At 57.9% G+C, this 23,533-nt stretch overlaps 3 protein-coding genes and 1 long non-coding RNA gene across 23 annotated transcripts, besides 9 other annotated features; 1 reads left to right on the plus strand and 3 right to left on the minus strand.

The window, feature by feature from the left end:
* Positions 1–3,673: 3,673 nt before the first annotated feature.
* Positions 3,674–5,377, minus strand: CATSPERQ (catsper channel auxiliary subunit theta). Of its 4 annotated transcripts, NM_001280561.2 has the most exons (6): positions 5,288–5,377; positions 5,063–5,213; positions 4,683–4,777; positions 4,400–4,595; positions 4,224–4,309; positions 3,674–3,973 (listed from the first exon to the last, which is right to left on the minus strand). In NM_001280561.2, the coding sequence occupies exons 2-6, from the start codon at positions 5,211–5,213 to the stop codon at positions 3,794–3,796; spliced, it is 708 nt and encodes a 235-aa protein (NP_001267490.1). In that variant the 5' UTR covers positions 5,288–5,377; the 3' UTR covers positions 3,674–3,793. The 4 variants fall into 4 exon arrangements, 3 of the variants coding, with proteins under 3 accessions (NP_001267490.1, NP_001239331.1, NP_001239333.1); NR_047684.3 differs by having other exon boundaries at positions 4,681–4,777; positions 5,063–5,377; NM_001252402.3 differs by having other exon boundaries at positions 5,063–5,377.
* Positions 4,818–4,927: a silencer, noted in NCBI's record as "silent region_19675". NCBI's record gives its function as "represses an Ori minimal core promoter by ATAC-STARR-seq in GM12878 lymphoblastoid cells {active_cell/tissue: GM12878}" and the evidence as "EXISTENCE:reporter gene assay evidence [ECO:0000049][PMID:35858748]".
* Positions 5,877–8,918, minus strand: FBXL6 (F-box and leucine rich repeat protein 6). Of its 2 annotated transcripts, none has more exons than NM_024555.6 (9): positions 8,478–8,918; positions 8,074–8,232; positions 7,903–7,948; positions 7,436–7,567; positions 7,254–7,361; positions 7,046–7,159; positions 6,746–6,977; positions 6,414–6,660; positions 5,877–6,124 (listed from the first exon to the last, which is right to left on the minus strand). In NM_024555.6, exons 1-9 carry the CDS (start codon positions 8,891–8,893, stop codon positions 5,977–5,979), a joined length of 1,602 nt encoding a protein of 533 aa, NP_078831.4. In that variant the 5' UTR covers positions 8,894–8,918; the 3' UTR covers positions 5,877–5,976. The 2 variants fall into 2 exon arrangements, with proteins under 2 accessions (NP_078831.4, NP_036294.2); NM_012162.4 differs by having other exon boundaries at positions 7,885–7,948.
* Positions 6,774–7,310: an enhancer, noted in NCBI's record as "H3K4me1 hESC enhancer chr8:145579988-145580524 (GRCh37/hg19 assembly coordinates)". NCBI's record gives its function as "activates a minimal SCP1, AML or CMV promoter by ChIP-STARR-seq in naive H9 embryonic stem cells {active_cell/tissue: H9 hESC(naive)}" and the evidence as "EXISTENCE:reporter gene assay evidence [ECO:0000049][PMID:30033119]".
* Positions 8,641–8,860: a silencer, noted in NCBI's record as "silent region_19676". NCBI's record gives its function as "represses an Ori minimal core promoter by ATAC-STARR-seq in GM12878 lymphoblastoid cells {active_cell/tissue: GM12878}" and the evidence as "EXISTENCE:reporter gene assay evidence [ECO:0000049][PMID:35858748]".
* Positions 8,881–9,320: a silencer, noted in NCBI's record as "silent region_19677". NCBI's record gives its function as "represses an Ori minimal core promoter by ATAC-STARR-seq in GM12878 lymphoblastoid cells {active_cell/tissue: GM12878}" and the evidence as "EXISTENCE:reporter gene assay evidence [ECO:0000049][PMID:35858748]".
* SLC52A2 (solute carrier family 52 member 2) lies at positions 8,998–11,718 on the plus strand. 16 transcript variants are annotated; one of them, NM_001253816.2, is made up of 5 exons: positions 8,998–9,056; positions 9,630–9,869; positions 10,069–10,939; positions 11,036–11,159; positions 11,249–11,718. In NM_001253816.2, exons 2-5 carry the CDS (start codon positions 9,740–9,742, stop codon positions 11,459–11,461), a joined length of 1,338 nt encoding a protein of 445 aa, NP_001240745.1. In that variant the 5' UTR covers positions 8,998–9,056; positions 9,630–9,739; the 3' UTR covers positions 11,462–11,718. The 16 variants fall into 16 exon arrangements, 15 of the variants coding, with proteins under 15 accessions (NP_001240745.1, NP_001425423.1, NP_001425425.1 ...); NM_001438494.1 differs by having other exon boundaries at positions 9,010–9,056; positions 10,561–10,939; NM_001438496.1 differs by having other exon boundaries at positions 9,010–9,056; positions 9,634–9,869.
* Positions 10,532–11,067: an enhancer, noted in NCBI's record as "H3K4me1 hESC enhancer chr8:145583746-145584281 (GRCh37/hg19 assembly coordinates)". NCBI's record gives its function as "activates a minimal SCP1, AML or CMV promoter by ChIP-STARR-seq in primed H9 embryonic stem cells {active_cell/tissue: H9 hESC(primed)}" and the evidence as "EXISTENCE:reporter gene assay evidence [ECO:0000049][PMID:30033119]".
* Positions 16,032–16,200: a silencer, noted in NCBI's record as "fragment chr8:145589246-145589414 (GRCh37/hg19 assembly coordinates)". NCBI's record gives its function as "represses an EF-1alpha promoter that drives an FKBP-Casp9 reporter gene in an ReSE screen in phorbol 12-myristate 13-acetate-treated (for megakaryocytic differentiation) K562 erythroleukemia cells {active_cell/tissue: K562(+PMA)}" and the evidence as "EXISTENCE:reporter gene assay evidence [ECO:0000049][PMID:32094911]".
* On the minus strand, positions 19,383–23,317 carry LOC101928902 (uncharacterized). Its single transcript, NR_134307.1, has 2 exons — positions 22,297–23,317; positions 19,383–19,652 (listed from the first exon to the last, which is right to left on the minus strand). It is a non-coding gene; the product is annotated as an uncharacterized LOC101928902 (long non-coding RNA).
* Positions 19,814–20,303: an enhancer, noted in NCBI's record as "NANOG-H3K4me1 hESC enhancer chr8:145593027-145593528 (GRCh37/hg19 assembly coordinates)". NCBI's record gives its function as "activates a minimal SCP1, AML or CMV promoter by ChIP-STARR-seq in naive H9 embryonic stem cells {active_cell/tissue: H9 hESC(naive)}" and the evidence as "EXISTENCE:reporter gene assay evidence [ECO:0000049][PMID:30033119]".
* Positions 22,215–22,715: an enhancer, noted in NCBI's record as "H3K4me1 hESC enhancer chr8:145595436-145595936 (GRCh37/hg19 assembly coordinates)". NCBI's record gives its function as "activates a minimal SCP1, AML or CMV promoter by ChIP-STARR-seq in primed H9 embryonic stem cells {active_cell/tissue: H9 hESC(primed)}" and the evidence as "EXISTENCE:reporter gene assay evidence [ECO:0000049][PMID:30033119]".
* Positions 23,361–23,470: a silencer, noted in NCBI's record as "silent region_19678". NCBI's record gives its function as "represses an Ori minimal core promoter by ATAC-STARR-seq in GM12878 lymphoblastoid cells {active_cell/tissue: GM12878}" and the evidence as "EXISTENCE:reporter gene assay evidence [ECO:0000049][PMID:35858748]".

A 23,533-nucleotide genomic window follows, 5' to 3' on the forward strand; every position in this document is an offset into this window, starting at 1 on the left:
GCCTGCAATCCCAGCACTTCAGGAGGCCAAGGCAGGTGGATCAAATAGGCCGGGTGCGGTGGCTCATGCCTGCAATCCCAGCACGTCAGGAGGCCAAGGCAGGTGGATCAAATAGGCCGGGTGCGGTGGCTCATGCCTGCAATCCTAGCACCTTAGGAGGCCAAGGCAGGTGGATCAAATAGGCCGGGTGCGGTGGCTCACACCTGTCATCCCAGCACTTTAGGAGGCCGAGGCAGGCAGATCACGAGGTCAGGCGTTTGAGACCAGCCTGGCCAGCATGGTGAAACTCTGTCTCTACTGAAAATACAAAAATTAGCCAGGCATGGTGGCGGGCACCTGTAATCCCAGCTATTTGGGACGCTAAGGCAGGAGAATCACTTGGAACAGGAAGGCAGAGGTTGCAGTGAGCAGAGATCATACCACTGCACTCCAGCCTAGGCAAAAGAGCGAAACTCCATCTCAACAACAACAACAAATGTAAATTACAGTGGCTTAAACTGGAAATTTGTCTCTTTCACATAAATAGAGTCCATTAGAAGCCATGCAGGACTAGTAGGGCAACTCTACACTCATAGAGCTCCCTAATTCTATCGGTTTGTTTGTTTGATTTGAGACAGAGTAATTCCAGCACTTTGGGAGGCCAAGGCGGGTGGATCACCTGAGGTCAGGAGTTCAAGACCAGCCTGGCCCCAACATGGTGAAACCCCGTCTCTACTAAAAATACAAAAATTAGCCGGGTATGATGGCGTATGCCTGTAATCCCAGGTACTCGGGAGGCTGAGGCAGGAGAATTACTTGAGCTCAGGAAGCAGGGGTTGCAGTGAGCCGAGATCGCCACTGCACTGCAGCCTGGGTGACAGAGCAAGACTCGGTCTCAATAAATAAATAGATAAATAAAATCTCTATTAGGCCATGCACACCTGCACACCAACAAGCAAGACCTTCCTCTTGCAAGCTGCCCCCTGGTTTCTCTGCCCATGACAGTGAAACTTGCTGTGTGAGCTGTACTCTCCTCTTCTTTCCACCCTCTCTCCCTCCCTCCTCCCTGCCCCAGTTCTGTGCTGCTGAGGCCCCTTCTTGAGGCTGTTCCTGCAGGGGCGTTCGTGCCTCTTATGAGTCCCCATCTTACTCAACATGGGTTCCTTCTCCCTCTGTTTGGGTCCTCTTCCCCCGTGGCCCCTTGTCTGCCTCTGTGTCTGATGCCAGAGCTCCATCCTTGGCCCTCCTCCTGTTCTCCCCCATCTTCTGCGTTGCCAGAGACATCTCATCTAGTGCTTTAGCTTTAGGGACCTCCCAGGGCATGATGGTTTCAGGTCTGTGCTTCCCCCTTTCCTTTCTCCCCAGGGCCTTTCTGCCTTTTCAAAATCTCCCCCACAAGGTCCTGTAAGCTCCTCAGGCCTTGTCTAATTCAGAACTCCTGACTGCCAACCCCTCTCCCCATAGCCACCAGCCCCAGTGCCCAGGCCAGACACTCTGGACTCCCGAGTCACTTTTCTTCCCAGCCCACTTCCCGCCCAGCAGCAAATCCCCTCCACGGAGCCGGAGCTCAGAACTGTCTGTGGTCCTTGCTCCTCTCTGTTCCCCTCTGCCCCTCCAGCTCCCTTTCCTCCGTGCACAATTCCTGCAGCCTCCTGGCCTTTCCCCACCGCTCCCTCCCTGGGTCTTAGTGCATATCTGCTTACAGCTCTCCAGCAGATTCCCATGGCACACAGGACTAAAGCTCTGAGCTATGGCCTCCAAGGACGCTGCCTGCCCTTCCCACCTCATCTCAGGCCTCCTTCTCCCTTGTCCTCTCTACTCTGACCAGCCCAATCCCCTTGCAGCTTCTCCAGCACACCCAGCTCAGTCCTATATCACGCCCTTGTGTTGTGTTTACTCTTTGCCCACGATGCCCTTCCCCCAAAGCTCCCCAGCCAGAGGGACCCTGCCCCTCCAACCACTCTTCATTCTGGGTCCCTCTTAGATCACCAGCTCCAGGGAGGAGGGACTTTGCCTGCCTGAGTGAAACAGAGCCCTCAACCCAAACCTAAGTTTGGTGCTGCCACTGTAGGACACCTTGAGCCCCATCTTCTGGGGAGTGGAGGTCCCTGCACTTGTGCTGTTAATGACAATTGCTTCCAGGGATTACCTAAAGCCACTTCAGTAGCCCCCAGATCCTGCCCCAGAGATGGGCCAGGGTGCCTGTGTGCCCAGTGAGTTTTGAGCAGCCTTGGGATTGGGGGTCAAGTAGAGACTCTAAGTCATGGTTCCAGGCAGAACTGGCTTCACGAGCCTGCAACCTGGGCAGTCACACAGGGCCCCAGGCTCAGAAAGGCCCCATACTTGAGTTTTTGTTGCTGTTGTTGTTGTCGTTGTCGTTTTGGGACAGAGTCTCACTCTGTCACCCAGGCTGGAGTGCAATGGCTCAATCTCCGCTCACCCGCAACCTCTGCCTCCCAGGTTCAAGCGATTCTATTCCTTCAGCCTCCCGAGTAGCTGAGATTGCAGGGATGCACCACCACACCCAGCTAATTTTATATTTTTAGTAGAGACAGGGTTTCACCATGTTGGTCGGGCTGGTCTTGAACTCCTGACCTCAGATGATCCGCCCGCCTTGGCCTCCCAAAGTGCTGGGATGACAGGCGTGAGCCACCATGCCCAGTCTATCTTGAAATTCTTAATAACTTTATTTTTATTTTTATTGTTTATTTTATTAGAGACTGGGGTCTCACTATGTTGTCCAGGCTAGCCTTGAACTCCTGGGTTTAAGCTGTCCTCCCACCTTAGCCTCCTGAGCAGCCGAGACTACAGGTATACACCACTGCACCCCACTTATTAACTTCCTAACAATGGGCTCCAAATTTTCATTTGGCATGGGACCCTGCAAATTATGTAGCTGCTCCTGGTTGCAGGGACGTTCAGCTGATAATGCCTGAAGATCCGGAGAGCCAGGTCCTGCTTTCCCTGGGACCCCATGGCCCACAGCCTTCTCGGCTTCCACAACAGCCCCCAGCACTCAGGAGGCCTCAGGTGCTGCAGTGATAGCTGGGGGATCCACTGGACAGGAGAGTGTGGGCCTGGGGTTCCAGCAGGCACAGCAAGTGGGTGTCAGGGGCGCAGGCCTGGGGTTCCAGTGGGCACGGTGAGCGGGTGTCAGGGGCGCGGGCCTGGGGTTCCAGCGGGCATGGCGAGCGGGTGTCAGGGCACTGCACATCCTCCCTCCTAGGAGGCCCTGCACCCTGGCCCGGGACTCTTGTGCCCACCCCCTTGGAGGCAAGCGGCAGCAGCTTTGTGGGTACTGGGGCAAGCATGCACCCCAGGCACAGGGCTTGTTCTCTGGCCGCACCCCACCCCATTGCTGGTTGGAGTAGCAGCAGGCACCGGGTCCAGAATGGGCCAGATTCTGACTCCTGGATTCCACGCATTGGTCAGCACCTCTGAGGTCAGGTAGGACAAGTTAAGTGCTGCTGGCTAAGAGGGGATGGAGTTCCCAGCCTCTCTAGTGATGGGCCGAACCTCAGAGGCCTGGCTATATGCCATCCCTTGCTCTCAGCTGTTCCTGTCTTCGAACACAAGCTGTGGGGTTTGCTTCAGTCAGCTGGAAGGCACAGGCTCTCTGAGGTCCTAGGAGTGCGCAACAGTGGAAGACCTAGGCACCAGAGGGCCTCCCCTGCCCCCTAAAATGATCCGTGTGGAAGCTGAGGCAGCTTTATTGAAAGGAAGGCCAGTGAGTGGGACTCACATTTGATCTGCCCCAGAGTGGGGCTGGGAGGTTACCGAGAACACAGTCCCGAGGTGGGGGAGGCCCTCAGAGTCACACCTCCAGGCTGGACTGAGAGGAGCTGGGCTTGTGACCCATGGGGCTCTTGCCCATCACAGTGCCAGCGCCAGGGGGTGGCCAGTGGCGAACCACGTGCCGGTAGGAGGTGGCCAGGTAGTCGAAGTAGTTGATGTTGAGTTTCCGGGCGATGTAACGGCCCAAGTATTCCATTTGCTGTGGGAGCAGGTGGCGCTCAACTGGGGCCGGGACAGGACAGACCCGAGTCGCCGTCCAGGCGTCTCCTTCCCCTACCAGGCTGCATCCCCCGTCCTGCCCGAAGCCCCGGCGCCCTCTCCACGGCCCCCAGCACCGAAGACCGTGTTGTATTTACCCTCTGCGTGCGGAAACGGCCCCACCCAAAGACCTTAAACAGTGATCGGTGTCATCGTGTCCTGAGGAGGGCGCGTGTCTGGGCGGGACCCACCTCGTAGTGCTCCGACAGCTGCACCAGCACCAGGGGCTCCAACCTGTGGCCGCCGAGGACCAGGTGGAAGAAGCACCTTCCGTGGGCTGCGGGGAGAGCGGACTTAGCCAGCCTGGCCGCCCCTCCGACCTCCCAAGCTGCCTCCCCGTCCCTGGCGCACCCTCCCGGCCCGTTACCATCGGAGCTGAGCGCCAGGCGCACGTAGACCAGATGCAAGGGGCCCTGGCACACGGTGCGGCCCTGGATGGAGAAGTGGTACACGCCGCGCGTGTGGTTCAGCACCAGGCGGCGCCGCGGCAGCGACGAGATCACGAGCCACAGGCCCACGCCCACGCCGTACACGAGGAAGACCCAGGTCTCTTGCTTCTGCACCTGCGGGCGCCACGCGGAGAGTCTGAGCGGCGCGGGGCCGGCCCTCAGGGGAGGAGGGCGGTGGGGGTCGGGCCCAGGGGCTCACACCTCTCTCAGGGAGCTGAAGCTGACCAGGACCACGCTGATGATGAAGAGCAGCATCCCCTTCCACAGTGTGTCCAGGTAGTATTCGAGCACGAAGACTGGGGGTGGCGCGGCGCGTGAGGACGCCCCGGCCCTGCCCGCAGCCGGGGGTGGCGGTGCCAAGGCTTGGCCCGGACTAGCTGGGTCCGCGCAGGGCTCGCGGAGGCGACGTCTCGCCTGCGGCCTCTCCGTCCCCAGGAGCACCGGCCGGCCCCACCCAGGGCCCTGGCCCTGCCTCTGCCCACCTGGCTCCGCCCCATTCAGGCCTCGGGCCCGTCTCCCTCCTCCCCCGCCCCGCCCTTCCCAGCCCCGCCCCGCCCCGCCCCGCCCAGCCTCGCGCGCACCGTTTGGCTCCTGCTGCACGAATGGGTAGAAGCTATTGTTCTTGAGGCGTCTGGCCAGGTGGCGCTCCGGGCAGGTGAGTCCTAGGAACCAGAGCTGGAAGCGCCAGCCGATGGAGGTCGTGGGCAGGCTGCCGGCCCGGCCCTTAGGCATCTGAGTCAGGCAGAGGTGGTCAGCCTGGCCGCTCGTCCGCTGCCGCCGCCCACTGCCCACAGCGGCACTCCTACCTCGGTGAGCAAATTCTCCAGGGCTGCAGGCCCAGGAAGGAGCAGGAGCTCACAGGCGACTGACAGGGCAGCGAGGCCAGGGAGCGGCCCAGGGTGGACCGCGGATGGGTTCTAGAAGTTCTGGGCAGGTTCTAGAAGGGGCTGCTCTGTTGACCACCTCTTAGGGAGTCCAGGGTGAGGTCCTGCGGTAGGCATTAACTTCTTGGCCAGTCCATCCACTGGAGGCCCCCTGTATGGCCTGTTCACAGTCCCCATGTGAAGGGTGGATGGGTGGACACCCTAGGCCTGAGCTGGAGAGAAATTTGCAGGCGGCGACCACTCAGTGAGCCCCACAGCTGGGCGGGGCCCCACCCCCTCCCACCCCCCACCCACATGCAACCACAGACAAGCTCACCAGTGTCCCCGAGGACGGAACACACACACTGGACCCAGCAGTGGGCAGGCAAAGGCATGGCCACCTGCAGGCTCAAGAGCCCATGGGACCACCCTGACCCCACAACACACAGGCTCTGGGCCGGCTGTAGCCCCAGTGGCTCCATCAGGTATAACCTGTTGCCCAACCCTACCCTGAGGACCACACACACAGAACTCCTAAAAATGTTTTATTTTAACAAAATGCTCAAATATCTGAAATTGGGCAAAGGTGGAGGGTGGGCAAGCTGGCTGAGGTGTCCCAGGTCTGTGGCTGCCTAGCTGGGTGAGGGGCTGGTGAGCAGCTGCTCCAGACACCACTGGACTTCCTCCAGGCCCCGGTAGGCCCGCTTCAGACCCCGGGGAAGGCAGCGGCAGGACTCCAGGTTGAGGTAGAGCAGGCCCGGGCAGCCGCTGATCACAGAGCTGTGGGGAGGGCAGACCACAGGAAGTTGAGCTGTTGCCTCAGAAGGGCTGGGCCAGGCTAGGGAGCTGTGCCTGCTGGTGTTCGACACCTGGCTCTGCCACCCATAGCCACCAAGGCCAAGCCCAGTTCCCCTGGTGTCCTCAGGCCCACCCCACGCAGGGGCTTGGACAGTATGCATGCCCCTCTGACCCCTGGAGGTCTCAGGCCAGGCAGGACACAACTTCCAGGCCCCAGGCAGACACAGTGACAGCCACACTGGCTCCAGGGACTGGGGTAGGGGATGCTGACCTGACAGTGCTTGGTGTGACCCGGGTGCCCCTGAGGTTAAGAGAGCACAGGGCTGGGTGTGAGCCCCCAGGGGTGCTTAAGAAGGCAGCCAGGGCCTGCTCCAGGTCCTTCTCACTGAACCCCTGGCCACTCAAGTCCAGTTCTCGCAGTGTATGGCACCACTTCTGGGTCAAAAAGGGGCTGCCCTCCTTGGCTAGAGTCAGCCGGTCTGACGTGCCATACAGGCCCAGATGAAGCTGCTCCAGCTCTGCAGTGAAAGGAGTGAGCATAAGCTACAAGGTGACAAGGGCCCCCACACCTCACCCGCCCGGCCACCACCCAGGACTGCTGACCCCGACATGGCAGATCCTGAAGGCCAGCCGGCGTGATGCGCGCACAGCCACGAAGATCCAGTAAGCGCAGGTTGGGAGAGCCGTGGAGTAGGCGGCCCAGGACCTCGTTGCTCACAAAGTTGCAGGTTGAGCTCGCCAGGCAGAGCTCCTCTAGGCTAGGGAAGCCTGGTCCGGGAGCCACCCCTCGTCCCGGAGGCTTGGGCAGCCACATCAGGTTCAACAGCCGCAGCACCTGGGGGCAAGGTCCAGGCTGTAGATGGGGGAGGGTGTGACAGGTGGGAGAGGCAGGGCGCCAGGTACCTGGAGCTGAGGGCAGCCTTTCTGCAGAGCCTCGACAGGCAGCTGAAGGGGAATGCTATTACGGTTGATGCCGGTGCTCACCTCCAGGACCTGGAGCTGGGGGCAGCAGCTGCCCTGCAGAGATGGGGGGAGGGGGTAGGTCACAGGGTCAGTGGCCTGGCAGTCCCCAGCTCAGCATCTGCCTCTGCTCCCACCAATGCCAACTTACCAGCAGTGCGCCCAGGATGGCTGTCGTCTGGGAGCTGTAGGTCAGCCACAACTTGCGCATTCGGGACCCTGCCTCCTCCAAGAAGCTCACCACAGCTGTGGACTCCACCTGGGGCCCCAATACAAGAGCACCCGTCACCCCGGCCTGGGTTTTTTCAGGGCCCCTTGGGACACAGGGCTCACCATGGAGTGCTGTAGGTCCAGGCTATGGAGCTGGCAGCAGGCTTTGGCTAGCATGACCAGAGCGTCAGCAGTCACACCGTGGCAGCCGGAGAGCTTGAGGAAAGTGAGCCGAGGACAGCACTCACCTACCAGCTGCGGGGAGACAGAGGGGCAGCTGGGGTTGGGAGACGACAGGCTAAGATCCACAAGGGAAACAGACAAGTGGCTGGTGCCAACCCCACTCTACCGCCTTAGCTGTGACCTCCTTTCTGCCCATGCCAGGCCTACTTGGGTGTCCCCGCCTCTGATACCTCCCTGCTGGAGGAAACAGCAGGAAAAGAGAACCAGGCAGGCAGGCAGACATCCCCACGGAGCAGCGTTGGGCCCCCAAGGTGCCTGACCCACTTCCTAGAGTACTGAACAGTCCCAGAGTGTCACAGCTGATGTGCAGGACAGCCTGGAGCTCTCACCTTCAACACGGGGTGTACCTGAGACTTCCAGTGGATGAGGGTCAGCCTCTGGAGCTGTGAAAACCTGGGCCGACAGCGGAGGCAGAGCTGCACTAATGTTCCCACACGAGTCCTTCCCACCCAACACCTTGGTGCAGGGAGACGGAAGGAGCCTGGAGCCAGGGGTAAGGAAGAGAGGGAACCCCTCACCGATTGGGCATAAGCCACTCCAGGGAAGCAAGGAGCTTCTTCTCCGCCTTGACCCCGCCCTTGGCAGGCCGGCCGACCAGCGGGGACGACAGGGTCACGGTGTGCCAGAGCGCGGGTTGGGAAGCGGCCTCCTGCCAGCGGCGGCACACGCGCGCAGCCCTGGGAGGACAGCGTGCTGAGGGTGCCGGCCCCTCCGTAGGCGATGCCCCCCTCTCGCAGCGCAGTAGACACCCCGGCTCAAAGCCGGGCTCCTGGGACTCCAACTGGGCGCCTAAGGGGCTGCGCTCTCGGACTGAGCGGTGCGCGCTCCGATGCTTTCGCCCTCCGCCCCCGCCCGGGCCACCGCTCGGACCACGTCTGGCCCAAGCCGCTACGCTCGGCGGCGGGCCCGGCACCAGCGTTACCTGCCCAGGAAGGGCATGGGGCCGTCCGCCGCCACCAACAACCCGAAAATCTGCACCAGGATTTCCAAGGGAATGCGGTCTCCCCAGCCCGCGTCGGGCCCTTCCTCGGGCGTGGGCGTGGGTGCCGGTGCGGGTGCGGGCGCGGCCGCCGCCTCGGACCTGAGCCCGGCCTTGGGCTTGGCCGCGGCGCTGGGGCCCCGGGGCGGCTGCCGGGGAGTGCGGCGGGAAGCGCGCCGCTGTGCGCGGGGCCGGGCGGGGCCGGGTTCGGACAGCACCAGCAGCATGCTGTCGGACTGCAGCAGGTGGTACCCCGAGCCCCTCGGCGCCAGCCGGTCCCACCACCAGTCCTCGGCCGAGCGGGGCCGCGGCGCTGCCCGGGCTCTGCGTCGGACCTGCCGGGAGGCTGGGGCAGCCATGACCACCGACGGCGCTCGGGGAAGCCCCAGGGAGCGGAACGGGCGAGGCTTATAGACCGACAACCCCCCGGTTCCTCTCAACGCCCGCCCGCCCGCCGACCAGCTTCCGGGGCGGGACTTCCGGTCGTGGGCCATGCCGGGGGCGGGCCCGGAACCGCCACGGGTGAGTCGGGTCGTGGCTGCTGCCGGGTCCTGCGCGCTCCGGACTGAGGTGGCGTCCCTGGGCCGGACGGCGGTGTCCCGGCGTGGCGGGAAGCCGGCACTGGAGCGGGAGCGCACTGGGCGCGGGACCGGGAGGCGCAGGGACCGGACGGCTCCCGAGTCGCCCACCTGACGGTACCGAGAGGGCGGCGCCCCTCCGAGCAGAGCCGTCCCGGCCACTCCCCTGGGATCTGACTTGGCTCTTGCGGTCGCGGGCACCGTGAAGCCCTGGGGTGTGCGTGGCTCCTCCTGGTAGGCGCCCTTTCCCGGCGTCCGGCTTGGGGTGGTGGTGGCGTTGACTCCAGCCCCGCCTCTCCCTGGAGAGGAGGGCTCCACTCGCTCCTTCGGCCTCCTCCCCTGGGGCCGCAGCGACTCGGGCCGGCTTCCTGCTTCCCTGCCTGCCGGCGGTCCCGCTGGGTACGTTTTAGCCAATCCTCCCCATCTGCGCTCCTGCCCGGGGCTCCCCCAGTTCCCCTGGTCTCACCCTGTTCTGACTCCGGCTCTGCATCCTATCTGTTTCTCTGTTTCTTTCAAGCTAGAAGAAGTCTTCACTTCCCAGGAGAGCCAAAGCGTGTCTGGCCCTAGGTGGGAAAAGAACTGGCTGTGACCTTTGCCCTGACCTGGAAGGGCCCAGCCTTGGGCTGAATGGCAGCACCCACGCCCGCCCGTCCGGTGCTGACCCACCTGCTGGTGGCTCTCTTCGGCATGGGCTCCTGGGCTGCGGTCAATGGGATCTGGGTGGAGCTACCTGTGGTGGTCAAAGAGCTTCCAGAGGGTGAGTGGGAGGGAGGTGCAGGTGTGCCCAAGACTCCTGGGCTGCGGTCAGTGGGATCTGGGTGGAGCTACCTGTGGTGGTCAGAGAGCTTCCAGAGGGTGAGTGGGAGGAGGTGCAGGTGTGCCCAGGAAGGTGGGCTTTGGCACTCTTCCTCCCTTGGGCATCATGACCCTGACATGGCCTCCTCCCTTCCCTGCAGGTTGGAGCCTCCCCTCTTACGTCTCTGTGCTTGTGGCTCTGGGGAACCTGGGTCTGCTGGTGGTGACCCTCTGGAGGAGGCTGGCCCCAGGAAAGGACGAGCAGGTCCCCATCCGGGTGGTGCAGGTGCTGGGCATGGTGGGCACAGCCCTGCTGGCCTCTCTGTGGCACCATGTGGCCCCAGTGGCAGGACAGTTGCATTCTGTGGCCTTCTTAGCACTGGCCTTTGTGCTGGCACTGGCATGCTGTGCCTCGAATGTCACTTTCCTGCCCTTCTTGAGCCACCTGCCACCTCGCTTCTTACGGTCATTCTTCCTGGGTCAAGGCCTGAGTGCCCTGCTGCCCTGCGTGCTGGCCCTAGTGCAGGGTGTGGGCCGCCTCGAGTGCCCGCCAGCCCCCATCAACGGCACCCCTGGCCCCCCGCTCGACTTCCTTGAGCGTTTTCCCGCCAGCACCTTCTTCTGGGCACTGACTGCCCTTCTGGTCGCTTCAGCTGCTGCCTTCCAGGGTCTTCTGCTGCTGTTGCCGCCACCACCATCTGTACCCACAGGGGAGTTAGGATCAGGCCTCCAGGTGGGAGCCCCAGGAGCAGAGGAAGAGGTGGAAGAGTCCTCACCACTGCAAGAGCCACCAAGCCAGGCAGCAGGCACCACCCCTGGTCCAGACCCTAAGGCCTATCAGCTTCTATCAGCCCGCAGTGCCTGCCTGCTGGGCCTGTTGGCCGCCACCAACGCGCTGACCAATGGCGTGCTGCCTGCCGTGCAGAGCTTTTCCTGCTTACCCTACGGGCGTCTGGCCTACCACCTGGCTGTGGTGCTGGGCAGTGCTGCCAATCCCCTGGCCTGCTTCCTGGCCATGGGTGTGCTGTGCAGGTACACAAGGACCCCCAGCCCCTGTGCGGGTGGAACTCAGGGCTAGGAGCCAGGTCCTGGCGCAGTCAGCCCTGACATTCTGCTCGCTCACTGCAGGTCCTTGGCAGGGCTGGGCGGCCTCTCTCTGCTGGGCGTGTTCTGTGGGGGCTACCTGATGGCGCTGGCAGTCCTGAGCCCCTGCCCGCCCCTGGTGGGCACCTCGGCGGGGGTGGTCCTCGTGGTGAGCACAGGGGGACATGAAGTGGGGTGGGGGGGCGTTGCCCTGGAGCAGGCACATCTCACGCTCAGCTGGTGCTGTGTCCCCCTCAGGTGCTGTCGTGGGTGCTGTGTCTTGGCGTGTTCTCCTACGTGAAGGTGGCAGCCAGCTCCCTGCTGCATGGCGGGGGCCGGCCGGCATTGCTGGCAGCCGGCGTGGCCATCCAGGTGGGCTCTCTGCTCGGCGCTGTTGCTATGTTCCCCCCGACCAGCATCTATCACGTGTTCCACAGCAGAAAGGACTGTGCAGACCCCTGTGACTCCTGAGCCTGGGCAGGTGGGGACCCCGCTCCCCAACACCTGTCTTTCCCTCAATGCTGCCACCATGCCTGAGTGCCTGCAGCCCAGGAGGCCCGCACACCGGTACACTCGTGGACACCTACACACTCCATAGGAGATCCTGGCTTTCCAGGGTGGGCAAGGGCAAGGAGCAGGCTTGGAGCCAGGGACCAGTGGGGGCTGTAGGGTAAGCCCCTGAGCCTGGGACCTACATGTGGTTTGCGTAATAAAACATTTGTATTTAATGAGTTGGCATTAATTCTTTGAGCACATCTCTCTGTGTGGATGCTTCCCTGAACTAGAGCCATGGCCTGGCCTGTTTAACAGGCTGCCTCTCCCCAGGCCCTGGGCAGGTCCTTACCCACCACAGGCTGGTCTCACGGATTGTACAGTCATGCCCTCTGAGCCCAGACTACCCCACATTGCTTCTTGGAACTGCCCTGGGCTCTCTGGGCCCACACGAGCTACCAGCTTCGGTGGTCAGAGGAGTAGAGGAGCCTCTTCCCGGCAAGGCCACTGCTCCACGAGCACCTCTCAAGGGCTGAGGGTTAGTCGGATGGGGCTGCGATGTGCCGAGCCCCCTGTCCACCCTTAGCCCTGGAGTGACTGTTTGCCTGCTAGCTTCCCAGGAGTATCCTGCTAGGGATTTACACCAGGGGGTTGGTGTGCAGGCACCGGGGTACTCAGTGAGGGGGACTCAGAAGAGACAGAGTTTAAGGTTTTAGCCCATCGGGACCGTTTGGCCTGAGCATTACCCCACTCCCCTGAGCCTCCACCCTCTCAGTGACAGCTCCTCCTGCAATCAGACCCCCAAAGGCCCCAAACTGTTTCTTCAGGCAGACTTGGCTACAGCTGTCTTCTCCCTGGGCTGCTGGCACACTGCCCCTAGCCCTGAGCAGCCTGGGCCTGTATGTGTTGGCATCTGCAGGGAGCAGGACCTCAGCACTGACCATGGTCTATCCTGGGCTGGGTGGTTCTTGGGCTCCCACAAAAAGAGCTGGAGCTGCAAAGGAACTAACTGAGAGGAGCCCCTGAGCCTGGGAGCAAGGATCTGGAAGAAAGTGCTGGGAGAGACCACGCCAAGGTAGGAGCCTGGCTTTCTTCACCTCGTGGGCCGCCACCCCAGGGAGGCAGGACACCGAACTGTGATCAGTATGACGGGCCTGGCAGCAAGGCCCATTCTCCCAGGCAAGAGGCCCCACTTCTGCAGAAGGGCCCCTGCAGCTACAGGGAGCGTGCAGGCACTGGGGATGGTGGGTCTGTTCCTGCTGCCCAAGCTCTGTCTGCGACGGTTCCGCTCTGCGGAGGCCCTTTCTCATTGTCCTTGAGTTGGCCTGCACACGGGCCTTTGAAGGCCTGGTCTTCCTCCCCACTTCTGCTCCCTCCTGTCTTGGCAGGACCATCAGAGGAGGAAGGAGCCCCTGTGACCCGGAAAGCCTCTAGTCTGGGCCCCATCAAACATCAGGGGGCAGGCCAGCTCCCAGGGGGGCTCAGGACCACCCAACTCTGAGGGCAGAGGCCACTGCCAGCTCCAGCCTTCCAGGATGCTGCCGCCTGAGGCTGGGCCCCTGCCCAGCTGACCCGGCTGCTTCCCTTTGGGGGTTGCAGGTACTGAGGGTTCTAGGGGGTGGGGGCTGAAGGTTGAGTGTGAGCTTCAGAAGTCGCCTGGTAAAAGAAGAAAGCTTCTGAGGGAGGATGAGGACAAGGATGGGACAAGGTGGGTGGTTTGGTGGCATGGCTGTGGGCAACAGGGCTCCTGGTCTCATGCTTGCCCCCTTCCCCTCATCGCTTTGCCACCACCCCCATCAGCACCGGTGCTTGGGGCCTGCCCTCTCCTGTCCACCCTGGGCTGCAGGCTTGGTGGAGCCACCTCCCAGCTTCTTCTATCTTCCCTCCCATAGGCCAGCGATCAAAGGCATCCATGGAGGCTCTGCTCTGTGCCACACATGAGCCACACTCCCCCAGGCCGCAGAGGAGCAAGGTGCACAAGCCTGAGTGAGGAATCCGCTGCCTTTTGAAGTCTCTGTGAGCTTCCTGCCCATCCCAGTAGGAACTGGGGCAGGGGTCAGAATCATAATGGCAGAAAGGTGCCTCAGGGCCGAGGCCTTGAGCACTGCTCACTTACAGTTTCCCGGGGCTGAGTCCAGGGCCAAAGCTGGGCCCCTGGGAGGCAGGATAGCCCACCACGCAGGGCCTGCTGGGGCGAGGATGCCCACCACCACCAGCTGCACAGCAAGTGGCCAGAGGCTCTGAAGCGCGAAACCCTGCCCAAGAGGAATTTGGAGGAGACTCCACCCTCCACCGGAAGGCAGGAATGGAGCCGGACCTGACGTCCCCCACTGTCCCCAGAGGGTGGTCCCCTGAGTAGGAGCAAAGCCTGCAACTCACTGTTCCTTGTCCCTCCACAAGGAAAGGTTTCCTGGGCTCCTCACCAGCAGAGAAGGGGCCAAGTGCAGTAGCTCATGCATGTAATCCCAGCACTTTGGGAGGCCGAGGCGGGTGGACCACCTGAGGTCAGGAGTTCGAGACCAGCCTGGCAAACATGGCAAAACCCCGTCTCTACTAAAAATACAAAAATATGCCAGGCGTGGTAGCAGGTGTCTGTAATCCCAGCTACTCGGGAGGCTGAGGCAGAATTGCTTGAACCTGGGAGGCAGAGGTTGCAGTGAGCCGAGATCGCGCCATTGCACTCCAGCCTGGGCAACAAGAGCGAAACTGCATCTCAAAAAAAGAAAAAAACCAGCAGTGAAGGGCCAGCCAGGCCGTGGCCACCACGTGCAGCCGCCTGTCCCAGGTATGTGGTCATCCCATGTGATGCTGATCCTCTGTGTGTGGGGACAAGCCTCGCTGGCTGTGATTGAGCAGCTGACCTAAGAGCCTTCCCATCCTTCAGTTCTGTAGTTCTCCGCCCAGCTTAGTCCCTAGATGGGTGCAGGTGACTACGGGGTTAAGGAACAGTTGCACCCCTTGATTTTTTTTTTTTGGGAAGGAGTCTCGCTCTTTCGCCCAGGCCGGAGTGCAGTGGCGCTATCTTGGCTCACTGCAAGCTCTGCCTCCTGGGTTCACGCCATTCTCCTGCATCAGCCTCCCGAGTAGCTGGGACTACAGGCGCCCGCCACCACGCCCGGCTATTTTTTTGTATTTTTAGTAGAGATGGGGTTTAACTGTGTTAGCCAGGATGGTCTCGATCTCCTGACCTTGTGATCCGCCCGCCTCGGCCTCCCAAAGTTCTGGGATTACAGGCGTGAGACACTGCGCCCGGTCTTGTTTGTCTTTTAGAGGTAGAGTCTCGTTCTTTTGCCCAGGCCTGAGGCTCAAGTGAGGTCGAGGACTCAAATGATCTTTTTTTATTTTTGGAGACTGAGTCTCGCTCTGTCACCAGGCTGGAGTGCAATGGCACGATCTCAGCTCACTGCAACCTCCGCCTCCCGGGTTCAAGCGATTCTCCTGCCTCAGCCTCCCGAGTAGCCGGGATTACAGGTGCCCACCACCACACCCAGCTAATTTTTGTATTTTTAGTAGAGACGGGATTTCACCATGTTGGCCAGGCTGGTCTCGAACTCCTGACCTCAGGTGATCCGCCCACCTCGGCCTCCCACAGTGCTGAGATGACAGGTGTGAGCCATGGCGCCCGGCCCAAGATGGTTTTAGATATGACAAAACATCTTGATAGAAACTGAAACCCTTAGCCGGGTGCGGTGGCTCACACCTGTCATCTCAGCACTGTGGGAGGCTGAGGTGGGCGGATCACCTGAGTTAAGGAGTTCGAGACCAGCTTGGCCAACATGGTGAAACCCCGTCTCTACTAAAAATACAAAAATTAGCCGGGCGTGGTGGCGCACGCCTGTAATCCCAGCTACTCGGGAGGCTGAGGCAGAAGAATCGCTTGAACCCGGGAGGTGGAGGTTGTAGTGAGCTGAGATTGCACCACTGCACTCCAGCCTAGGCTATGACAGAGCAAGACTCTGTCTCAAAAAAAAAAAACTTGAGCCTGGGCAACATAGTGACATCCCATATCTACCAAAAAATTAAAAATTGGCTGGGCATGGTGGTGAGAGCCTACAGTCCCACTTACTCGGGAGGCTGAGGCAGGAGGATCACTTGAGCCCAAGAGGTCTAGGCTGCAGTGAGCCTTGATTGTACCACCGGACTTCAGCCTGGGTAACAGAGCGAGACTCTGTCTCTAAATAAAATAAATACATGATTTTGGAGATTCCCCAGAGATTTGTCCTTTCACCTCCTGCCCTTGATTCTCAGAGGCTCTTACTGAGCCTCCTCAGTTTTCATGGCAACGTAGGTATTTGCATGGTGTCTTGTGGGCGGAGGATTACCTAGGTGCCGAGGCAAGAGACTGAAGGCAGAAACTGTTTCAGTATAATAAAGAAAATATTTAGAATAAGAATAGTCATAATACAAATTAGATATAGGGATGACCATGGACAATTATCAATCATTATTATAAGCATTATTAATCATTAGCTTTTACCATTACTCTTTGTTGCATTACTAACAAAACGTAGGAATAACCGGCGGATATAGGGTCGGGTGCTGAACGGACATGGTGAGAAGTGACCTAGAAGGCAAGAGGTGAGCCCTCTGTCACGCCCGCATAAGGGCTGCTTGAGGGCTCCTTGGTCAAGCCCTAACGCCAGTGTCTGGGAAGTCACCCGTTGCTTAGTAGACTGCGAAAGGGAGTCTCCTTTCCTTGGAGGAGTCAGGGAACACTCTGCTCCACCAGCTTCTTGTGGAAGGCTGGATATTATCCAGGCCTGGCCGCAATCATCCGGAGGCCTAAACCCCTCCCTGTGGTGCTTCAATGTTCACGCTCCTTGTCCACTTTCATGCTCCTCCTGTACTCCTAGTTCCTCTTTGAAGTTTGTAGTAGATAGCAGTAGAAGAAATAGTGAAAGTCTTAAAGTCTTTGATCTTTCTTGTAAGTGCATACAAGAAAACGCTGACGTTTGCTGCCTTCTCTCTCTGCTTCGGCTACCTAAGAGGGAAGGGCCCCCTGTCCTATGATCATGTGACTTGCTTCACCTTGTCAATCACTTAGAAGATTCACCCTCCTTACCCTGCCCCCCTTGTCTTGTATGCAATAAATATCAGCGCGCCCAGCCATTCGGGGCCACTACCGGTCTCTGCGTCTTGATGGTAGTGGTCCCCCGGGCCCAGCTGTTTTCTCTTTATCTCTTTGTCTTGTGTCTTTATTTACTACAATCTCTCGTCTCTGCACATGGGGACAACACCCGCTTAGCCCCATAGGGCTGGACCCTACAGTGTCTTAGTTCGTTTTGTGCTGCTATAATGCCACAGACTGGGTAATTGATAATAAACTGGGATTTATTGGTTCTGGAGATTTGGAGGTCCAAGAGGGAGGGGCCACATCTCATGAGGACCTTCCTGCTGCCACATAACATGCCAGCAGGCATTATGTGGCTGGACGGAAAGGGGCCAAACTCATCCTTTTATAAGGAATCAATTCCCGAAATAATGGCATTAATCCCTTCATGAGGGTGAAGCCCTCAAGACCTAATCACCTCTTAAAGGTCCCACCTCTGGCGGGGTGTGGTGGTTCACGACTGTAATCCCAGCACTTTGGGAGGTGGAGGCGGGCGGATCACTAGGTCAGGAGTTCAAGACCAGCCTGACCAACATGGAGAAACCCCGTCTCTCTAAATATACAAAATTTGCCAGGCGTGGTGGCACATGCCTGTAATCCCAGCTATTCGGGAGGCTGAGGCGGGAGAATTGTTTGAACCTGGGAGGCAGAGGTTGCGACAAGCCAAGATCGCACCATTGCACTCCAGCCTGGGATGACAGAGCGAGATTCCATCTCAGAAAAAAATAAAAAGGTCCCACCTCCAATACTGCCACACTGGGGATCAGGTTTGCAATCCATGAACTCTGGGGGACACTTTCAAACCACAGCACATAGATTCAGTTAAGAGACTCTTCTCCTTTTACAGAAGACAATTGGATGAATTGGTTAGGTCACCAAGGCCTTGTCCAGGTTGTCATATGGAGAGTTCTGCTCTTTCACTGGGGATGACCAGCCGCTGCTGCGGACCTTGGGTTGCTGTTATGAAGGAGTGCCTGCAAATCCTCCTGAGGGTGCAGACCCCAGGCCTTGCAGGTGACCAGGAAGGTGATTTCCTGGCAGGCCCAGGAACATAGAAATTGACCCAAATTATAGGTATTGCGTTTCTTGCCTCTGCAAAGAAGCAAACAATACAGGTCCACTCTGATATTTCTTTCTTTTCTTTGAGACTGTTTCACTTTTGTCACCCAGGCTGGAGTCCAATGGTGTGATCTCAGATCACTGCAACCTCCGCCTCCTGGGTTCAAGCGATTCTTCTGCCTCAGCCTCCCGAGTAGCTGAAATTACAGGCGTCTGCCACCACCCCCAGCTAATTTTTGTTTTGTTTTGTTTTTTCGAGACCGAGTCTCACTCTGTCACTCAGGCTGGCACAGTGGTGCAATCTTGGCTCACTGCAACCTCCACCTTCCGGGTTCAAGTGATTCTCCTGCCTCAGCCATGAGTAGCTGGGACTACAGGCACGTGCTACCATGCCCACCTAATTTTTTTTTTTTTTTTTTTTTGTATTTTTAGTAGAGACGGGGTTTCACCGTGTTAGCCAAGATGGTCTCGATCTCTGGACCTCGTGATCCGCCCGCCTCAGCCTCCCAAAGTGCTGGGATTACAGGCGTGAGCCACCACGCCCGGCAATTTTTGTATTTTTAGTAGAGACAGAGTTTCACCATGTTGATCAGGCTGGTTGCGAATTCCCGACCTCAAGTGATCCACCTGCCTCAGCCTCCCAAAGTGCTGGGATTACAGGTGTGAGCCACGGCACCCAGCCCCAATCTGATATTTCTTATGAAAACTTCCAGCAAAGCAAACGTAAGGTGGCCTATATGGGATATTTGCACTGTTTCTGCACCTATGTAAATAATTGGACCACACTTGCTGACACCAGCTTCATTTTATGGCCCAGTGTGATTTATTTTTTATTTAATTTAATTTTATTTTATTTTGAGACAAGGTCTCACTTTTTTGCCCAGGCTGGAGTGCAATGGCTCAATCTCGGCTCACTGCAACCTCCACCTCCTGAGCTCAAGCAATTCTCCTGCCTCAGCCTCCCGAGTAGCTGGGATTACAGGCATGGGCCACCACGCCTGGCTAATTTTGTATTTTTAGTAGAGACAGGGTTTTTCCATGTTGGTTAGGCTGGTCTGGAACTCCCAACTTCAGGTGATCTGCCTGCCTCAGCCTCCCAAAGTGCTGGAATTACAGGCATGAGCCACTGTGGTCAGTTTTTTTTGTTTTGTTTTGTTTTTTTTGAGATAGAGTTTTGCTCTGTCGCCCAGGCTGGAGTGCAGTGGCGAGATCTCGGTTCTCTGCAACCTCTGCCTCCCGGGTTCAAGTGATTCTCTTGCCTCAGCCTCCCAAGTAGCTGGAACTACAAGCATGCGCCACCATGCCCAGTTAATTTTGTAATTTTAGTAGAGACGGGGTTTCGCCATGTTGGCCAGGCTGGTCTTGAACTCCTGACCTCAGGACCTGCCTGGGCCTCCCAAAGTGTTGGCATTACAGGCCTGAGCCACCACACCCAGCTAAATTAATTAGTTAAATGAACCTTTGACACACTGTCCTCATTTCCTAGGGCTGCCAGAACAAATTACCACAAAGTTAGTGACTTAAAATTGATGAACAATTTTATTCTCAGTCACTTTGCAAGCCAGGGACCTCCAGCCGACGATGCCCCACCTGGGCCTCGCTGGGCCACAATACCTGCTGCAGAGACAGCTCGCCCACTCACCCCACCTGGGCCGAGTCTGGCTTGTGCACTGGTTCCCAAGTTCTTGTCCTGCACCCACAAAGAATGGGGATACACTGGCAATCGAAGAGTGAGGGTGGAGATTTTATTGAGTGATACAATAGGTGGGGGGTTTATTGAGTGATAAAACAGTTTTCAACAGAGAGGCGATTTGGGGGTGGTCCCCCTACTTAAAGGCAGGAAAGTCCCCTCAATGTGGCTGAGTCCAGGGCTTTTATGGGCTCAGTATTGGGGAGGGGCAGGTCATAGGTAGTATTAGAGAAGGCAACATTCAACTGGTTAAAAGCATTATTCAGGCTGGGTGTTGTGGCTCATGCCTGTAATCCCAACACTTTGGGAGGCTGAGGCAGGCAGATCATCATCTGAGATCAGGAGTTTGGGACCAGCCTGGGCAACATGGTGAAACCTTATCTCTACTAAAATACAAAAAATAGCTGGGTGTGGTAGCATTCACGTTCGCCTGTAATCCCAGCTACTGGGGAGGCTGAGGCATGAGAATTGCTTGCACCAGGAGGTAGAGGTTGCAGTCAGCCAGGATCGTGCTACTGCACTCCAGCCTGGGTGACAGAGTGAGGCTCTCTCTCTCAAAATAATAATAATAATAATAATAATAATAATAATAATAATAATATAAACTAAAAGCATTATTCGGAAAGAACCCATCAGGAAAGGGCAGGCAAACAGGAACAGAAGTTCTCGCTCTGGGTCTCGAGTTTCATCCCAGACCAGCAGTTCTGTCTTTCAGGCTTCAGGCTTTTTGGCTTGGAGGTGTGGTTTCACCGGGGACCCGCCCTATCTGCCTATGCATTTGGCTGCCTCCTGTCGCTATCAACACGTCAGGGCTGAGTTAAGTGGCTCTTGCCTATAATCCCAGCGCTTTGGGAGGCGGAGGTGGGGAGGACTGCTTGAGACTAGGACTCAAGCAATCAACACTGTCTCGGGCTGGGCGCGGTGGCTCACGCCTGTCATCCCAGCCCTTTGGGAGGCCGAGGCGGGCGGATCACCTGAGGTCGGGAGTTTGAGACCAGCCTGACCAACATGGAGAAACCCTGTCTCTACTAAAAATACAAAATTAGCCGGGTGTGGTGGTGCATGCCTGTAATCTCAGCTACTTGAGAGACTGAGGCACGAGAATCACTTGAACCCGGGAGGCGGAGGTTGCGGTGAGCAGAGATCGTGCCATTGCAGTCCAGCCTGGGCAACAACAGTGAAACTCTGTCTCAAAAAAAAAAAAAAAAAAAAAAAAAAAACACTGTCTCTACAGAAAAATTTAAAAATTAGCTAGGTGTGGTGGTGCATGCCTATAGTCCCAGCTACTTGGGAAGCTGAGAAGGGAGGATCCCTTGATCCCAGGATGTCGAGGCTGCTGCAAGCCATGATCGCCTCACTGCACCCCAGTCTGGGCCACAGAGTGAGACCCTGTCTCTTAAAAAAATAAAAATAATAGTGCCAGGGGCTGGGCACGGTGGCTCACGCCTGTAATCCCAGCACTTTGGGAGGCCGAGCGGGCGGATCACGAGGTCAGGAGATCGAGACCATCCTGGCTAACACGGTGAAACTCTGTATTAAAAATACAAAAAAAAATTAGCCGGATGTGCTGGCGGGCGCCTGTAGTCCCAGCTACACGGGAGGCTGAGGCAGGAAAATGGCGTGAACCCAGGAGGCGGAGCCTGCAGTGAGCTGAGATCGTGCCAGGTACTCAGGAGACTGAGGCAGGAGAATCGCTTGAACTCGGGAGGAGAAGGTTGCAGTGAGCCAAGATTGCGCCATTGCACTCCAGCCTGGGCAACAGAGTGACACTCGGTCTCAAAAAAAATAAAATAATAAAAAATAAAAAAATAACAGCCAGAAATTTATTCTCTCACAGTTTTAGAAACCGGAAGTCTGAAATTGCAGTGCTGTGTATGTGTAAACAAAACAGACAAACAAAAACACTGGTCTGAAATCAAGGTGTCAACAGGGTTGGTTCTCTCTGAGGCTCTGAGGAAGAACCTGCCAGTTCTCTTTCCTGCTGTGGAGCTGCTGGCTCCGGGCGCCTCGGCCGTGATCCTCTCCCGTTTCTACCTCCACCTTCATGTGGCCTTTCCCTCTGTGTCCCAAATCTCCCTCTCTCTTCTCCTGTAAGGACACTGGTCACTGGATTCAGGGCCTGCCCTTACCCACAGTGACTTTGTCTAAAGACCCTTGGCTTAATTTCATCTGTAATGATCCCATTTCCAAATAAATTTGCATTCCCAGGCTCTAGGGGTTAGGACAGTGTCTTTTTTTTTTTTTTTTTTTTTGAGACAGTGTCTTGCTGTGTCACCAGGCTGGAGTGCAATGGCGTGATCTTGGCTCACTGCAACCTCTGCCTCCCGGGTTCAAGTAATTCTCCTGGATTCTCCTGCCTCAGCCTCCCAAGTAGCTGGGACTACAGGCGCCCGCCACCACACCCAGCTAATTTTTTGTATTTTAGTAGAGACAGAGTTTCTCCATGTTGGGCAGGACAGTCTTGATCTCCCGACCTCCTGATCCACCCGCTTTGGCCTCCCAAAGTGCTGGGATTACAGACGTGAGCCACCGTGCCTGGCCTGGACAGTGTTCTTTTGGGGGACAGTGCTCAGCCCAGGAGACATGAAATGAACACGTGCTCATTTTATAGCTATGTGAGAGCCACGCTTCTTAACACCTATTTAACCTTCTCTTTTTTCTTTTTCTTTCTTTCTTTTTTTTTTTTTTTTTTTTTTTTGAGACAGTCTCGCTCTGTCGTCCGGGCTAGAGTGCAATGGCTTGATCTTGGCTCACTGCAACCTCTGCCTCCCGGGTTCAAGCAATTCTCCTGCCTCAGCCTCCTGAGTAGCTGGGATTACAGGCACCCGCCACCACACCCAGCTAATTTTTGTATTTTTAGTAGAGATGGGGTTTCACCATGTTGCCCAGGCTGGTCTCAAACTGACCTCAGGTGATCCGCCCACCTCGGCCTCCCAAAGTGCTGGGATGACAGGCACGAGCCACTGTGCCTAGCCCCTTCTTTCTTTAATGACAGTTCTGGAGACCAAAGAGACTGGGAACACAGGGTTTTGGGAACGTGGGAGTTCTGGGAGGTGACGGACAGGCTTGAGAGCGGGCCCGCACTGAAGGGCTAGAGTGAGCTGCATTTCTGGGTCTTGGATGGGGCAGGGGCTGTGGGCACTTGGGACCTGGGGAAAGCTTTCACCACATCCCTGGGCCCTGTGGCTCAGCTGTGTGACATCGACTCCCCGCCACACCCTCGGGGGCAGGATGTCACGCCCCATCCAGAGCCCTGCAGCCGGGCAGGATCCTAGGCCACAGTGTGTCTCCCGGGATGCTAAAACAGGACAGAGGTCATTCCTTCGTTCATTTTGGGGGTGTTTCCCAAGAGTGGGTGGCAGAGTCCTCCATCCGACCCTTCCCACCTGGGGCAGCCATGTCGGTTGGTGGCCAAGCCTCCCTGTGATGGCAGTGCCCGGGCCCCTAGGCAAGGCATGGCATATCCCACCATGCAGCTCACACTTTGCTCACGTCACGGCACAGATGCCTGGAGGCCTTACTGTGTCAGCCCACATGGCTCTTCTGGACCTGTTCCATTACAGAGGAAAGGTTGCCGAGGGAGGCAGATGTTAGCAAATGAGAACACTCCAGAAAGCCCGGCTCCGGGAGGGGCCCCAGGTCCATCTGTGAAGTTCTAGTCTGGGCTTTGGGGATGAGGGACTGAAGACTGGAGGCCAATCCCTGTCCTGCTAGCAAAGTGATGCAGGGCACACAGAATCATTGAGCCCAGCAAACTTGACCTTGGGGATGACAGAGACTTCACAGGAGACACGCCATAACAGAAGGGGCACTAAAGGGCTGGAGGCACCGGCTTTCCCTAGGCAGGGACCACCCCATTGAAGAGATGCCTTTGGGTTCAGTCCCAGTGGGAGGAGCAAGAGGACTGTAAGAAGATGAGGACGAGGAGCCATGTGGGAGGAGGAGGGGCCACTTGTGGGAGGAGGAGGGGCCACTTGTGGGCGGAGGAGGGGTCACTGGTGGGAGGAGGAGGGGCCACTGGTGGGAGGAGGAGGGGCCACTGGTGGGAGGAGGAGGGGCCACTTGTGGGCGGAGGAGGGGCCACTGGTGGGAGGAGGAGGGGCCACTGGTGGGAGGAGGAGGGGCCATTGGTGGGAGGAGGAGGGGCCACTTCTGAGAGTTGTGAAAAGGCCTTGAGGCCTGAAAACCTCCC

Source organism: Homo sapiens, chromosome 8 (genome assembly GCF_000001405.40).
Source record: "Homo sapiens chromosome 8, GRCh38.p14 Primary Assembly".
NCBI classification, from domain to species: Eukaryota; Metazoa; Chordata; class Mammalia; order Primates; family Hominidae; genus Homo; species Homo sapiens.